At 38.8% G+C, this 17,630-nt stretch overlaps 1 protein-coding gene across 12 annotated transcripts in view; it reads right to left on the reverse strand.

Annotated features, from left to right (window-relative positions):
- The window catches only part of CHRDL1 (chordin like 1), a 121,962-nt gene that overhangs the window by 75,203 nt on the left and 29,129 nt on the right, over positions 1-17,630 (reverse strand). For all 12 annotated transcript variants that reach the window (NR_159734.1, NM_001143983.3, NM_001367207.1 and 9 more), the window contains exons 3-4: positions 13,637-13,749; positions 10,603-10,696 (exon numbers count right to left, since the gene is read on the reverse strand). Coding sequence is in view for 11 of the 12 variants with exons in the window: in NM_001143983.3 (NP_001137455.2) it covers positions 10,603-10,696; positions 13,637-13,749 (207 nt within the window). In the remaining variant the exon portion in view is untranslated. The remainder of the gene's footprint in view (positions 1-10,602; positions 10,697-13,636; positions 13,750-17,630) is intronic.

Consider the following 17,630-nt stretch of genomic DNA (forward strand, 5'->3'; position numbering starts at 1 on the left):
CAAAGAAAGAAAACAAGGAAGAAAGCATGCCACATTTCCTTGTCCTCTCCTTCTCAATATCCATTTCTCTATTAAAATAATAAAAGAATATATTATATAAAAGGTATGATAGTGAGTGTGGACTCTGATTTGGCCTTAGATCCCTGAGGGCACAATCTTGTGAATGTGAAGAAATCAAAACAGGATGAATTTATTGAAGAAAAGAAAAAGAGCTTGTGGGGACACTTACATTATCTTCATGTTCCAAAAAATAACCTCAACTCCCAAGTTTGACGTATTTCTCTGTCTTCTCAATTAAACTAAAATCCAAGCAGCCCTCTTCCTCCCCCTCCTGCAGACAGCTTTGATTTAGCCCTTTACTGAGAGATACAGTACATATATTTCTTAGCCTATCTCCAATTCTGGGAGCATAACTCTAGAAAACACTTTGTAAGTAGCCATACATATATTTGCTGAACCACTTCCCAGTCTCTGTGTCTTAGAGTATATGTGGCAAAGACAAAAGACAACACATCAAGACATTTATAAAATAGACTACTTTGATGGCCAAAAATGGAGTCCTGTGAGGAGGCGGATTTTGGAACAGATTTCAATAACTGACACCCTAAGTCTGCCAGTTCCTAAAATCACTTTTAGGGAATAGCTGATGGTATAAAATTCTAAACACAAAAATCAGACAAAAATCATTCTAATAAAGACAATTGCTTATCTTAGTGGCTGCAAATAATCTGGCAAACCTTTTGGGTTACAGTCATTTTAAGTCCAAAACCCTGAAGTAAAACTCTTTGGCTCTAGGCAACAGATAGCAAGGATATCTGGTTACTTTGAGAACATATTGGTTTTAAATTAACAACACTAAAGTGAAAAACTTGAGAGCTGGCAACTCATTCTAGAAACCACTGTGTCCTCTGCTACAAATAAAGAACTTATCCTAAATACTACTGGTGTTCTGCAGGACTTTGGGGTAGGTAAAGCTTGACTCCTTAGGCCCTTCCTTCAACAGGCCCCTCTCCCTTTGTAACTCTTCAGGTGCCCAGCTGAGCTTAGTGGCCTCGGGATCTTCCCCCCGCAACACCTGTCTCCTCTTTCTACAATCAAAATCTGCTTTCTAAATCCTGTGTTCAGACGAAAGTAAAAATGATTAATAAGAGTTAATTTACTACCTTCAAAGATTGGTGAATTTATCAGGACAAGGCCTAAATTTAAAAGATTAAGCTGTAATGACAATTTCAGGTGTCAGGCAACTTGGCAGGGAAGTGGGGGTGGGCTTGGGCAAAGCTGATCCGATGGCTGGACAGGTCTCAGAATCACAGGTCACAGGAAATCAAGGTAATAATTGCCTCTTCTGCTTACTCAAGAAGAAAACAGGCCCTGGTTCAAGGGTCAGTCTGGCAACTCAGATGAAAAGCCCACTACAGGACATTTTGCTAATCCTTTCCTTAAAATACCCTAGATGTGACTCTTATTTCAAACTAAGTTAAAAACAGACTAAGCTGAAAACACTGATTTTATTTCAAACTATGTTGATTGCTTTTCCCTTTGAGAGTTTCATTTGTTTATCAGCAGAAATTCCTGGGCTAATTCCGAGAAATGCCATTCATTTCTCGCCAACAACAAGTCATGAACAATGGGCGGGGTAGAGGGGGAAGCTCCCCACGGAGGGTCTTGCTTTCTGGACATGACAGCCAAGGACTCTGAATGTGGAAGATGGCAGAAGAGGCAGCCTTTGGGTGGGAGCTCTGGGAAAGCAGAGGGGCAGGCCAGATGGCACATTGTGCACATGTTACTGCAGGGTTAGTCCTGGGGAAATGTCACACAAGGAAAATGTGTTTCCAGAGTGTCTATGTGCTCCATTATCAGCGAAACAATGTTGTCATGTTGCCCACAGCCCTCTGGAGATCCCACTGCTGCAAGATCTTACCCAGAACGGCTTTCTGTGGGCAGTTCTCTTGACCTCCTTTCTCAAAATCTCCCCTGGGCCCTATTACTGTAGTGCAGTCCTCAATCCGACTGCATCAGAATTAACTGGGATGCTTGTGTGAAATGCATGACACCCACTGCAGCCTAAATGATTCAGGATTTTTGGTGTAGGGTCTGGGAGTCTGCATTTTATCAAATCTCCCAAGGTGATCCTTAAGCATGTTAAAATTTGAGTAGTACTAGTTTAGGGTCTTGTGCTAAAATTGCCTACTACCCTAACAAACTTCTCCAAACTAAGATACTGTATATACCAATAGCTTATTGCTATAACATACATTGCTCCTAGAAATTGAATGGCAAAATACAACACTTCTTGAAGCACATAACAAAGAACCCTAATTCTGCAAAGTGCCTCCAAAAAATGGGTATTATGGCTGAATAAATTTAGACAATGTTACATCCCATATACCTCTCTGGTAGATTCATAATGGGTACTAATGTATCAAGGCTCTGTCATATAAATAGACAACAAGTATATAAAAATGCTCAACATCACTAATCATCAGAAAAATACAAATCAAAGCCACAATGAGGTATCATCTCAGCCCAGTTAGAATGGTTATGTTCAAAAAGACAAAATGTAATAGATTCTAGTGAGGATGTGGAGAAAAGGGAACTCATATGCTGTTGGTGGGAATGTAAATCAGTACAGCTACTATGGAAAACAGTATGGAGGCTTCTTAAAAAAGCTACAAATAAAACTACTATATGATCCAGCAATCCTACTACTGGGTATATATCCAAAAAAAGGGAAATCAGTGTATTAAAGGGATAGCTACATCCCTATGTTTATCGCAGGACCACACACAACAGCAAGATATGGAATCAACGTAAGTTTCCATCAACGGAAGAATGGATAAAGAAAATGTGGTATATATACACAATGGAGTATTATTCAGCCATAAAAAATAAAGAAATCCTGTCATTCACAGCAACATGAATGAGACTTGAAAATACTAAGTTAAGCAAAATAAGTCAGGAACAGTAAGATAAACACCGTGTGTTCTCACTCATATGTGGAAGCTAAAAAAGTTGATCTCATAGAAACAGAAAGTAGAATAGTGGTTACTAGAGGCTGGGAAGGGTAGGCACGATCTTGTCTCACTGCAACCTCCACCTCCTGGGTTCAAGCGATCCTCCTGCCTCAGCCTTCTGAGTAGCTGGGACTACAGGCATGCACCACCACACCCAGCTAATTTTTTTGTATTTTAAATAGAGACAGAGTTTCACCATGTTGACCAGGATGGTCTCAATCTCTTGACTTCGTGATCTGCCTGCCTCGGCCTCCCAAAGTGCTGGGATTACAGGCGTGAGCCAGTGCACCCAGCAAATGCTACTTTCTTGAAGAAGGTTTTAACCCCTTGTACTGTGTCAAGTGTCCAAGGACCAACAGTATGAGAAAAATAGTGGAAATAAGGCATGGAAGATGGTTAAAGGGGTCTAAGAGAACAGTCAGTATGGACATGGAGGGTCTAGTGATCAAAAGTGAACATCTCCTTTGGCAGCCCCTCTGTAACCTAAAATAGTAATAATAATAATAAAGCAAAATATCTGCTATTCAGACACCAACATTTCAGAATCCTCAGGCTTTTGGATAACTCTGGACCCATATATATATATATGTAATTATTATGTGTAATATATATACCAATCTTTTGCAGGCAAAGGAGTGGCTCCTGGTTGATCATCTTGCACACTACAGCTATTGTAGTCACCTTACTAGGGAAAACAATATGCTAATTGGCTGTTACTGTTAAAAAGGAATTGATCTGTTTTGATAAAATCCAAGAGACAAACGAATATAGAATTCAGAAGAGAATAGAAGAGAGAAGAGAGCAATGGAGATCAGATATGGATGGTGGCAAAAGCAGCAAATCAGCAGCAACCATGAGGATGGCTGGCAGTAGGTACTCAAAGAAATGAACTAAAAGAAGATGGGGCAACCTTAAAATTTAAGAGAGATTCCTCAATAAATTAAAAATAAAATTACCATAAGACCCAGAATTTCCACTCCTAGGTATATACAAAATAATTGAAAACATATGCCACACAAAAACTTGTATATAAATGTCCGTAGCAGCGTTATTCACAATGGCCAAAAGGTGGAAACAACCCAAATGACTACCAACAGATGAATGGATAACGAAAGTGGTCTATGCATAATAATGGAAGATTATTCAGCCCTAAAAAGAAATGTCATACTGATACATGCTACAACATGGGTGAACCTTGAAAACACTATGCTAAGTGAATGAAACTAGATGCAAAAGGCCACAAATTGTATGATTCCACTTATGTGAAATGTCCAGAATAGGCAAATCCATAGAGAAGTAGATTCATGGTTACCAGGGGCTAGGGGAAAAGGGGAATGGAGAGTGACTGTGTAATAGGTTTCCTTTTGGGGTGGTGAAAAATTTCAGAAACTAGATTAGTGGTAAATGTTCTTACCACTTGTACAATATTGTAAATGTTCTTAATGCCACTGAATTATACACTAAAATGATACATTTTATGTTATGCATCTTTTACCACAATAATAAATAAATAAATCTCTCTTTTGAACCTTCCCTAGAAAAAAACTGGAGGAAACACAAAAGGCCTGTCTACTTGATTACTGTAACTGTGGAAGTCACAGATATAGACAGACATAGTCATAGACCTAGACTCTAGACTCCTTTTTAATATAAATACATGGGATGGGAGAAAAGGGGAACACAAGGGCAGATAGGTCAGTGATTAAAGACAAAAAAAAGCAGATTCAGAGTAAACAAGTGATTTTCAACTCTTACTCTAAACTTGTCTACAGTCAAATGCCATGTACCCACCTCATCTTACACAGTCTGTGCTATAGTGTGGATTTGTGTAACACAAGTGGTTCATATGTGAGTGCTAAATAAGGGAATGAAGTTGGTATAAAATAGAAATTGCATTAGTTCATACATGATTACCCAGCAAATTAATATTTTGCACTACCAAGTGACAGCAGCTAAAAGCCAAGTACACTAACTCAACTGAAATCAGGAAGCCATTTGCCCTACATTCTTCCTCTTGCCTCAGTTGGGCCACATGCTCTGTCTTGTAAGTGCTTATTACATGATTCTCCGTGATCTTTGTGCAATTTACTGTTGTCTCTATAACTTAGCAGCTTCAATCCTTCCTTAAACACTGTTCCTTCAAGCTAATGTTACCATTTTAAAAGGTGAAGTCTAGAAGTCTATATTTACTGTAATATTTTATTAGAAATGTAAGATGCCTTTTTAAACTGTGTTAGTATTTCATTAGTATAGTTGCTTTGTTAATATTCTGGTTACAAAGTTGCCTAAGTTTTGAGTGGTTTTCTCTAATGCTACTTTTTCCTTAAGCCCTGTGATTTTTCAGTGTACAATTTTGTAGAATGTGAGGATTTTCAGATATGTGCATATTGTATTGTGGCAGAAATGCCTGTGTTTGCTAGCTCACTCACAACCCAACTATTGTTGAAAGAGAAATGACACAGGGCTTCCCACATTCTCCTTATGGGAACACATACTATAGTGCAACACTGGTAAGGTCTTTTCCCTAACCTACCTTGAATATCTAAGACTGGGGTGTCTCTCTTGGCAAACCACACTGTCACTATTCCTATTAAAACCATTCATAGTGCCAAACTTTTTCACACCTAGCCAAAAGGAAACACTGTGGATTAGGTCTCTGTTAACCAGATCAAATCAGTTATTTTGGCAATTTTATAAGAGCTCTTTAATAACCCAGGAATGCTGGAATACCTCCAGGAAAACCCAAATTTATTAATTCTGAATAGCAAATTCTCAGTGGAATGACCATTTTAAAAAGCCCTCTTAGATAATATCATGATTTAGACTCCTGATCACTATAAAATTCTTCTTTTTGTGATAAAATTCTCTCTCTGTGCATATATATAAAATAAAATATATATATTATGAAATATATACATACACATATTATGAAAATAAGTCATGTTGTTTTACTTTCCCTTCCAGCATTACCACTTCATTCCCCCAAAAGAGAAGATAGGGAATTTAATTCCTTCAAATCACTAAAATCTCTTAATTATCAGGGACTCCACAGAGTCTTGCTTAGAGACCAGGATGAATTTAATGACGTTCATGAGTCCTATGCAGTCTTGACTTTTCCATTAAGAATGTTCCAGCCTCCATGTAGCCTCTTTGGGCCCAGTAGAGCACTGTGGTATGTGACTAAGACTTGACCTCTGCCAAGACTTGGACAAGTGCTGATGAAAAAAAATTTATTTGCTCTTTGTGGGAATCAGTATAGATTTCTCTCTGGTATTTCTGGAAGAGCTGCCTGCATACTCTGATTTCCACGGTTTAGCAGGAGCTGTAGGAGACAATTTCAAATACAGGTGGGCTCCTTGGAAATTTTAGGGGTAACGAGTTTAGAAAGCAAGAGCCATGGGAAATACATAAACAAATGAAATGAGATGGCTCCTCTGTCTCCTTCAATGGAAACTAAGCTCTAAGCATGATAGGTAGGACACTTCCACTGAGTCTGTTACCACCTAGGCAAAAGCTTCTCTAAATCAATACTGCTATAGGACAGTATGTAAAGCCAGTATCTGGGGTATACAGTTTGCTTATTTGTCGTCTTTTTATACGGAGCTTATTCATCATCTTGGCTTTAAATATTTTCTTCTTAAATGAGGACATTTTCATCACAGTGCCTTCCATTGGGTTAAGATGGAAAACCAGAGCCCTTTTCTTTGACCAAACATTTCTGTGGCCCTGAAGGCATGAGTTTCCTCATGCCTAATAATCACTGGGGTGGAAGGAACACAGAGGAGTCATCACATCCATTGCCCTGTCTCAAAGCAGGACTGTGCCAACTCTATCTCAGATGGGTGGGTACCTTTTTATTTCTAGAAATATTAAGTAAAGAGACTAAAATTATCCTTAGTCATTTATTCTAGGATTTAACAGCCACGGTGTTCAAAGTTCTTCCTTTTGTCAAGCTCCACTCCTCTCTGCTATGATTTAAAGCTATTTACTCTTGTTTTATCTTCAGTAGAAAGAAAGAATAGCTGGTTGCATTCTGGTTCAATATGGCAAAGAGAACACATGAGAAATCTCCCTGTTATTTTCAAAACAAAGAGAGATGAAATGTGGAACTAGAAAAATAAATAAATAAAACGTGAAAACTGCAAAATTATATTCAGAAACACAAAAAAACTCTTCGTGGAATAAAATATAGAAGGAAAGTACAGCAATAAATGGGAGCCAAAGCCATATGGTCCATCAGCAGCTGGGACTGAATATGGATAGTTTGGATCCAAATGGCTGAGGAGAAACTACAGCTTGCAAGTGGCTTCCCATGTGAAGTTGGGGACTAGGGTCACACTACTCGCATGTAAACAGGGGCTGACATAGCTCTCCCCACTCAGTGTTCCCTAAAAAACACTGATTGTCCAAGTTAGGCAGTTGTAGATGAGGCAGTTGTAGATCAGTCCATGATCATTATCAGAGACTAGTAGTGCACAAGAAAACAGAGGTAGAAATAGACCATTCAGGCATGAGGCAGCCCAAACCGAGTCATTAATATATGACCTGGTTTAGAGCAAAGTGAACTATAAAGCCTGCAACAACCATCCCACAAAGAAGGGCTCATGTAAGAAAAAACAAAAACAAAAACAAACAAACAAAACAAACCCAAAACACCCATGGATAATGAGCTTTGAAAGAAAAAGTAGAAAACCAAGGAAAATTCAGAACTAAGAAAAGCTGTCAAGAAACCCAACAAAGGTGACAATTCACATCTAAAAATATTTAGATATTTGAACAATCTGAAATGGACTTCAAATAAACTTTTAAATACTTTAAAGAAGTAAAAAAGAGAATAAGATTCCCCAAAACAATAACAGGTTATAAATTAGCATCATGTAGATGTCTTTTTAAATAACTTGAAAACCTGAGGGGAAACAAGGTTATTGAAAATAAACAAAGAAACAAACAAAACCCAACACATGGCCTAAATAGTATGCATGGAAAGAATTCATGAATTGGAGAACAGAGTTGAAGTAATATATCATTTTAGGGAGAATATCAGGAGGGAAAAATAAAGGAGACATTAGGAGACATAAAGGATAAATTAAATGAGATGCAATAATATACACCAAAGACAATTTTGAGAATGAGAAAAAATAAGAAGGTGAAGAGATAATTTTCAAAAAAAAAACTGACTAAAAATTGAAGAGAAATTTGACTCCTTTGGCTGAAAAAATCATGTGCTGAGCAGGCTGAAGAGAATAATCAAACTTACACATCTCATTGTGTGCATCAATGAAAAGAAGAAAGTTTTAAAAGCTAGAAGAAAAAAAAAACGAAGAACCCGCAAAAGAACTACAAATAGCAGAATTCTTAACCACAAACAAATAAACAAACATAAAGCCAACAAACCATTTAGTAATATCTTCAAAGTGCTGAGGGGAGATGAACATGCACCTATAATTTCATACCCAGCCAAATTATCATTCAAGAATGGTTGTAAAATAAATACACTTTTTTGTATATAAGGACTAAGGAATTTTAGAACTACTACCCACAGAAAGAGCTGTTAAAGGTTATAGTTAACAAGAAGAAAAATGAACTCATGGAGAAGTGAGCTGCAAGAGCAAGAAGGAAAAGAAAAGGAATAGTTTATTTCTATCCTCCATACCATAAAATGAGCTTTTTAAGTCTTAACCATAATGGTGTTTATTTCTTTCAACGCTTTCACCTCTGGAATTTTTGAGCTCAGTTCTTTTAACACTTTATTTTTCTCTCAAAATAACTGCTAGCTTATACTTTCCCTTTTTCTCAATACTTGCTTCCTGTTAGGCAGCTGGGGTAGGTGCAGCCATATTCTATTCTATGTTGTTTTGCCCCATGCTCTGGGTCTGGGTCATGCCTCAACCTTCTTCCCAGGGAAGAACAATCTTTACACAGAAGTTTAGATAAGTTCCTATGACATTAGACCACTTTTGGAGACTTCTGAGGAATAAAAAGCTTTTATAAGGCTGTCTGACAGGCTACCTGGCAGGTTAACCAAAAAACAAAAACAAAAAACAAAAAACAAAAAAACAAAAAAAAAAAAAACAAAGAAGCTCTCCAGAGTGGCAACTTTATCAGAAACATTGTTCCCATTTACCAGAGCGCCCCCACCCCCACCCATACCACATTCTTGCAATCCAGTTTAGGAAGAAGAAGCAAATAAACACATACAGAAACAGTAAGCCTGGCTTAGGGACTTATTCCAAAAAAAACCCAACAACTTTTAGGTTGGTCATATGCCAAGTCAATCTCTGACATCTCAAAGCATATACTATCAGCACCAACACTCAGAATTTAAAAACCTGTGATATGGCATGATATTCTGCCATCTGGAAATGAATCACCTGTGTTCATTAGGGTGTATTTACTGATGCAGGAAAATATATTTTATAAAGGTAGTGACAAAAAGAGTTTGGGTGTTTCTTCTCCATTAAAAAAAAATTCTCCACTCTTGGAACATTTCAGTTGACTGGGTTTTCATTGAACCCCATTCCCAGCCTTATTCCTAACATTTTTGCCTGGATACATTTGGTTTCTCTCTTATAAGTTCTGGAAGTTCCTCACCACTTAAAAAGCACCGTCTATACCTTAGCTGGGGTAGTGGTTCTTCCTGTACACCCCTTTGGGACTGACAATAAAGCTGCGGATGTTCTCTAAAGGAATTTACAAATATACATAGTTACACCAAAAACTGCAAGCAATTTTAAAGGGTTCTCTGACCCTCAAAAGCCCATCCAGGAACCCTAGTTCAAGAATTTCTACCCTAAAGGGAAATGGAATCAACTTACAGGATGATAAGGCTTCTACTTCACAAAGCCCAAGAGTGTCAAGTAGCTTTTTCTAGGATTGCCACTGGGCCCACAGGCATTCTCTGAATCACTCCACACGCTTTTGGGGTGGGAATCGGGCCCCAGTCAGACATGAACAAAGTGTCATTGAGGGAGCCCCTGCCTCAGACAAATACCGTAGCTGCAAATCGTGAAAGTAGATGTCCTAACAGTTGTGTGAAAAATTCTCTGCCTGGCTGCCCCTTAGAATTACACTTAACAATGTGTACATAATAACTGCAGTCTGGAGGAGGTGACTATTCAGCAGGCAGGCAGCTTTATACTGTCATAAACCTCACTGGGTCAGCTCCTTTGATTTATGAATGGCCCCCTCATAATTTAGAAGCTATGCTCGGATGCAATTCCAGCACTAATTGTATAAGACACATGCCGCCATGCTGCAACTCTCCTGGTGCCTGCTGCCCATGGCAGGAAGAGGCTGCTTATAGCAGAAAATCTCTGGGCCACAATTTCCATCTCCGATTGACACCCACCTTCAAATGATTAAAAGCCCAATAAAAATCTGTTACTGGGTACCCAATAACTTATTAGAGCCTAGAATGTACCCCATTTGGGCTATAAAAAGTATTTAGAGGCCAGTTTGGACTGCCTAAAGGTTCCTATTGTTATCTGTCTGGAAGTTTCCCTTCTGGGGAATTATGGAGATGAGTTGAGTTGGGTGAAGAGGGAAATGGAGAACCACAGCTAGGAAAGAAAGAGACAAATTGCTTTACCTGGGCAGCGAGGGCAGCACAGATGAGGAATATGCACAGGAGAAAGGCAATGAACATTTGGACATCTGACTCGGCTGCAAAGCACATTCCCATTCTGAAAAAGAGAAGGCAATGAGAAAAAATAAATGTCTTTCAAAGGTCGCTGGGATCAAGCCAGTTTGGGAAACAGTCATGCAGGGACTCACCCAGGCAGTGAATAATGCATTCCCAAGAAGCTGAATGCATTCAACATTTTCTTTCCTTTTCTCATCACCAGCACCTCTGCTGGGTTGGTTGATAGTTTATTGGCATATTTTTCTAAGGCTGAGATCACCACTCCTCCAATTTTCAAAGCTTCCCATTAATTGTGGGAGGCTTCTTCTGGCCTGGCTCCATGGCATTTCTACCATTCCCCAGCTCTAGCTGCATGTCTTTTCCAAGAACCTACTCTGATTTCATAATCACCTGTCCAATAACATGAAAGACACAATGAGCAATGGGTCCCCTGAGCTGCTACCCAGCCCTGGGCAAGGAGGCATCCCTAGCAGGTGGATCCTGGATTCCATATAAATCTGCCTTGGCCCAGTGGGCCAAGTGATTCTTCTCATTTCCTTTTTAGCCAAAATTCTTCTGAGGACGAGCTAGAGTTTGGAATTTAGCTGATTAGGTAGTATGCCTGGGTGGGGCGACTGGGTCCCTGCCTGATTTACAATTACAAGACCCCTCGCTCTGACAGCTCACAACCATTTCTAGAACAAAGACATAGTCTGGAAATAAATTTTTCATTTACATTTTCCATCCATAAATCATTTGCAGCAAGGGCTACTTGTATTTGTCAGGCTGTTGTGGGGGAAGAAAGTAGTGAAGAGGATATAGAAATAGAAAATGCCTTGTGCTTGAGCTGTTGGCATTGGGATCATTTTAACATTTTGACTGCGTTGCAGACATCAAAGCCTCAGCTCCCAATGGTTAGCTGTCCATCTCCAACGTGTCGAAATGTGTCGCGTCAAGAATCCGACAAAATCAGGCCATCCCAGGCAGTTAATCAATCCCCAAATGATCTATTTAATACATGCCCTAACCATTTAAAGAGGCGGGCTTCTTTTATCCAAATTGGAATTGCCTTATCCCAACCTTTTCCTTTTCTTGTGTACTTTCTAGAATAATTTTTTTTGGAGTGTTGCATTTGGCAACACCACAGAAGCTCCTCAGGTATCACACTCCTCAGAGGCAGGTGGTATAATCTTGAATTGAGATCACTGAAGCACATCAGAAACCACACCTCCCAGCTGAGGTCTAAAGTGAATCCTCATTAATGCTATATACTGAATTCTGTTCTAGAGCTAATAGATTAATAATAATAACGATGATGATGATAACCACAATGATAAGGACAACAATGATGACAATAACAGCTGTTAACATTTCTTGAATGTTTACCAAGACTAAGTATTGTTTTAAATGATTTAAATGGATTTGTAAATTTAATCCTTATCAGAACCATATGAAATGGTAATATCATTATCCCATTTATAAAAAGAGGAAGATGAATGAATATCACAGAGGTCAGGTAACTTGTCCAGTGGCTCATAAGTGGCAGAGGCAGGGCTGGAAACTTGGTCTGTCTTTATTCTAGAACCTCATAGCCTCTTAATACTGCCTGATGTTACCTGATAATTATGTTTCCACATGCTCAAAATTCTGACAGCCCAAAATTATGTTCAAATGGTAAATGGATCAGGCTTGCAAGTGATTGTTCCTGCTCTAGCTGGGCATGAGGGAAGAGGTGCAGTCCTTACAAAAGGTCTCAGGTAAGAAGCTGGTCTTGAAAATTCTTTGTGTAAGTTCAGAATTCTCAATGCCTAGTACAAGGCCTCCCTTTCCAATTAGCCTAGTGCACCACTTCTCTACCAGGGGTGATTTTTGCTCCCCAGGCAACTTGGCCATGTCTGGAGACATTTTTGGTTATTAGGATTGGGGTTGGTGCTCTTGTTGTCTAATGGGTAGAGGCCAGGGATACTGCTTAACATCCCACAATGCGCAGGACAGCCCCCAAACAAATATCTATAGTGCAAACAAGAAACTCTAGCCTAACATATAATGGCAGAGGTTTGTTGAGAAAGATGGACCACAGCTGTGCTCCTGGGTCAAGACCATGGGAAGAAGATGGAACAACCTGCTTTATCTATTGCAAAGATGGCATTTATGCCAACCAAAATCCTTTCTAAATGACTGGACAAGAGCCAAGGCTAAGCCAAGGGAGCTCTAATCCTTAAGAGGTACAGGCCAACGTTTCACAAACTCAGTCTTAATTACAGTTATTGGCTGAGACAACATAGAATCCACTCTCCCAATGAACCAGTTTATAATTTGTCCTAATATTCTCCCTAAAGGTCAGCCTTAAAATAATTTTCAAAAACTACTTTGTCTTACAATCTAAACATTCTATTGAGCTTTTGCCTCCACTCCCACTATCAGGCTCTTCTGCCTTCTCTAACCATGCCCTATATCATTAGGCTAAGAGATCATAAATATCTGTCCATAGTAAATATTCAGAGAACCCATGAAAATCAAGCCAAAAAGCAAGAGAGGACAGAAGACAGAAAATGTTTATTTTTCTTGCAATCGTCTTCTTACTTTCTTCTTTTATTTTATGAGATAGGGTCTTGTTCTGTCAACCATGCTGGAGTGCAGTGGTATAATCTCGGTTCACTTCAGCCTAGAAGTCCCCAGCTCAAGTGATCCTCCCACCTCAGCCTCCCAACTAGCTGAGACAACAGGCATGTGCCACCATGCCCAGCTAATTTTTGTACTTTTTGTAGAGATGGGGTTTTGCCATGTTACCCATGCTGGTCTAGAACTCCCGGGCTGAAGTGATCCACATGCCTCAGCCTCACAAAGTGCTGGGATTATAGGCGTGAGACAGTGCGATCGGTCTGCTTCTTTACTTTCTTTAAGGATTTTATCATCCATGGTCCCTGGCCATTTGGGCACTGAAAGCCTCTCGGCATGCTGAGGAGCAAACTGGGAAATCACATGTCATGAGAGATTGTACCTCTGAGCAGATGCAGTTCACGCAGTAAACCAACCCATAAGGTTCCAGGTAAGGATGCCATCTCTCACCCACTCTGTACTTCTTGTCTTGAAACATGCAATATGTCTCTGAATCTGTGAAGAAGGAGATGGAGAATATGCCTGTTAGGAAACATCAACCAAGTCACAAAATTCAAAAGCAATCACAAGTTCCATCCATTTTATTATACATCAAGAGAAGTGGCATAGCAAGTATTTATAGAATTCCTATTAGGGGATTAGTGTTATACATACTTTGCTCACTGGATCCTCACCACAATGACCCATAAGGTAGATATTATTATTAGTCTCATTTTATAGATAAGGAAAATCAAGAGTCATATAACCAGTAAGAAGCTGAGATGGAACTCAAACCCAGGTTTGTCTGACAATGATGTACAAAATCTTTTTAAATTTAATTTTATTTTTCCATAAGTTATTGGGGTACAGGTGGTATTTGGTTACATGAGTAAGTTCTTTAGTGGTGATTTGTGAGACCCTGGTGCATCCATCACCCTAGCAGTATACACTGCACCATATTTGTTGTCTTTTATCTCTTGTCCCCCTCCCACTCTTCCCCCCAAGTGCCCAAAGTCCACTGTATCATTCTTATGCCTTTACATCCTCATAGCTTAGCTCCCACATATCAGTGAGATCATACGATGTTCGGTTTCCATTTCTGAGTTACTTCACTTAGAATAATAGTCTCCAATCTCATCTAGGTCATTGCAAATGCTGTTAATTCATTCCTTTTTGTGGCTGAGTAGTATTCATATATATACACACACACATATATATATACACACATATATATAATCAATAGAAACATATATATATATATATATATACACACACATACTGACTCTCTGTCTCTGTCTCTCTATCTATCTATCTATTTATCTATATGTTTCTTTATCCACTCATTGATTGATGGGCATTTGGGTTGGTTCTACAATTATGCAATTGTGCATTGTGCTGCTATAAACATGCGTGTGCAAGTATCTTTTTCGAATAATGACTTCTTTTCCTCTGCATAGATACCCAACACTGGGATTTCTGGATCAAATGGTAGTTCTACTTTTAATTATTTAAGGAATCTCCACACTGTTTTCCATAGCGGATGTACTAGTTTACATTCCCTGCATCCACACCAACATCTACTGTTTTTTCGTTTTTTGATTATGGTCATTCTTGAAGGAGTATGGTGGTATTGCATTTGATTATGGTCATTCTTGAAGGAGTAAGGTGGTATTGCATTCTGGTTTTGATTTGCATTTCCCTGATCTTTAGTGATGTTGATCATTTTTTCATATGTTTGTTGGGCATTTGTATATCTTCTTTTGAGAATTGTCTATTCATGTCCTTGGCCCACTTTTTGATAGGATTTTTTTTTCTTACTGATTTGTTCATTGTAAATTCTGGATATTAGTCCTTTGTCAGATGTATAGATTGTGAAGATTTTCTCCCACTCTGTGGGTTGTTTGTTTACTCTGTTGACTGTTCCTTTTGCCATGCAAAAGCTCTTTAGTTTAATTAGGTCACAGCTATTTATCTTTGTTTTTATTGCATTTGCTTTTGGGTTTTTGGTCATGAAATCCTTGTCTAAGCCAATGTCTGTTGCGGGAAGTCAGGGACCCCGAACAGAGGGACTGGCTGGAGCCGTGGCAGAGGAACATAAATTGTGAAGATTTCATGGACATTAACCAGTTCCCAAACAATACTTTCATAATTTCTTACACTTGTCTTACTTTGATCTCTTAATCCTGTTATCTTCGTAAGCTAAGGATGTACATCACCTCAGTGCCACTATGATAATTGTGTTAACTGTACAAATTGACTGTAAAACATGTGGGTTTGAACAATATGAAATCAGTGCATCTTGAAAAAGAACAGAATAACAGCAATTTTAGGGAACAAGGGAAGACGACCATAATGTCTGACTGCCTGTAGGGTCAGGCAAAAAGAGCCATATTTTTCTTCTTGCAGAGAGCCTATAAATGGACATGCAAGTAGGGAAGATATCTCTAAATTATTTTCCTAGCAAGGATTACTCTGGGAAAGGAATGCATTCCTGGGGGGAGGTCTATAAATGGCTGCTCTGGGAGTGTCTGTCTTATGTGGTTGAGATAAGGACTGAAATGCACCCTGGTCTCCTGCAGTACCCTCAGGCTTACTAGGGTGGGGAAAAACCCCGCTCTGGGAAATTTGAGGTCACACTGGTTCTCTGCTCTCGAACCCTGTTTTCTGTTGTTTAAGATGTTTATCAAGACAATAAGTGCACCGCTGAACATAGACCCTTATCAGTAATTCTGCTTTTGCCCTTTGAGTTGTGATCTTTGTTGGACCCTTATCAGGAGTTTCTGATTTTGCCCTTGTCCTGTTTCCTCAGAAGCATGTGATCTTTGTTCTCTTTTTTGTCCTTTGAAGCATGTGATCTTGTGACCTACTCCCTGTTCTTGCACCCCCTCCCCTTTTGAAATCCTTAATAAAACTTGCTGGTTTTGTGGCTCAGGTGGGCATCACCATCCTACCGATATGTGATTTCACCCCCAGCGGCCCAGCTGTAAAATTCCTCTCTTTGTACTCTTTCTCTTTATTTCTTAGCCGGTTGACATTTATGGAAAATAGAAAGAACCTACGTTGAAATATTGGTGGCATGTTTCCCCAGTAAATGTCTAGAAGGGTTTTTCCAATGTTATCTTCTAGAGTTTTTATAGTTTCAGGTCTTAGGTTTAAGTCCTTAATCCATCTTGAGTTGATTTTTGTATAAGGTGAGAGACGAGGATCCAGTTTCATTCTCTTACATGTGGCTTGCCAGTTATCCCAGCACTATTTGTTGAAAAGGACCCCCACATTTATGTTTTTGTTTGCTTTGCTGAAGATCAGTTGGCTGTAAGTATTTGGGTTTATTTCTGGGTTCTCTATTCTGTTCCATTGGTCTATATGCCTATTTTTATACCAGTACCATGATCCCAAATTTATAAAACAATTACTAACAGACCTAAGAAATGAAATAGACAGCAACACAGTAATAGTAGGGGACTTCAATATTCCACTGACAGCACTAGACAGATCATCAAGACACAAAGTCAACAAAGAAACAATGGATTTAAACTATACCTTGGAACAAATGGACTTACAAGATATATATAGAATATTTCATCCAACAACCACAGAATACACATTCTATTCAACAGAGCATGGAACTTTCTGCAAAATAGACCATATGATAGGTCATAAAACAAGCCTCAATAAATTTAAGAAAATCGAAATTGTATCAAGCACTCTCTCAGACCACAGTGGAATAAAACTGGAAATCAACTCCAAAAGGAACCTTCAAAACCACACAAATAAATGGAAATTAAATAACCTGCTCCCGAATGAGCATTGGGTGAAAAACAAAATCAAGATAGAAATTTAAAAATTCTTCAAACTGAATGATAATAATGACAGAACCTTATCAAAATCTCTGGGATAAGGCTAAGGCAGTGCTAAGAGGAAAGTGCATAACCCTAAACACCTACATCGAAAAGTCTGAAAGAGCACAAATAGACAATCTAAGGTCACACCTCAAGGAACTAGAGAAACAAGAACAAACCAAACCCAAACCCAGCAGAAGAAAGGAAATAACCAAGATCAGAGTAGAACTAAATGAAATTGAAACAAAAAAAAGACACAAAAGATAAGTGAAACAAAAAGCTGGTTCTTTGAAAAGATAAATAAAATCGATAGACCATTAGCAAGATTAACCAAGAAAAGAGAGAAAATTCAAATAACCTCACTGAGAAACAAAACAGGAGTATCTTCAAATACTGAAATACGAAAGATCATTCAAGACTACTATGAACACCTTTACACACATAAACTAGGAAACCTAGAAGAGATGGATAAATTCCTGGAAAAATACAACCCTCCTAGCTTAAATCAAGAAGAATTAGATACCCTGAACAAACCAATAACAAGCAGAGAGATTGAAA

This window comes from Homo sapiens, chromosome X (genome assembly GCF_000001405.40).
Source record: "Homo sapiens chromosome X, GRCh38.p14 Primary Assembly".
NCBI lineage: Eukaryota > Metazoa > Chordata > Mammalia > Primates > Hominidae > Homo > Homo sapiens.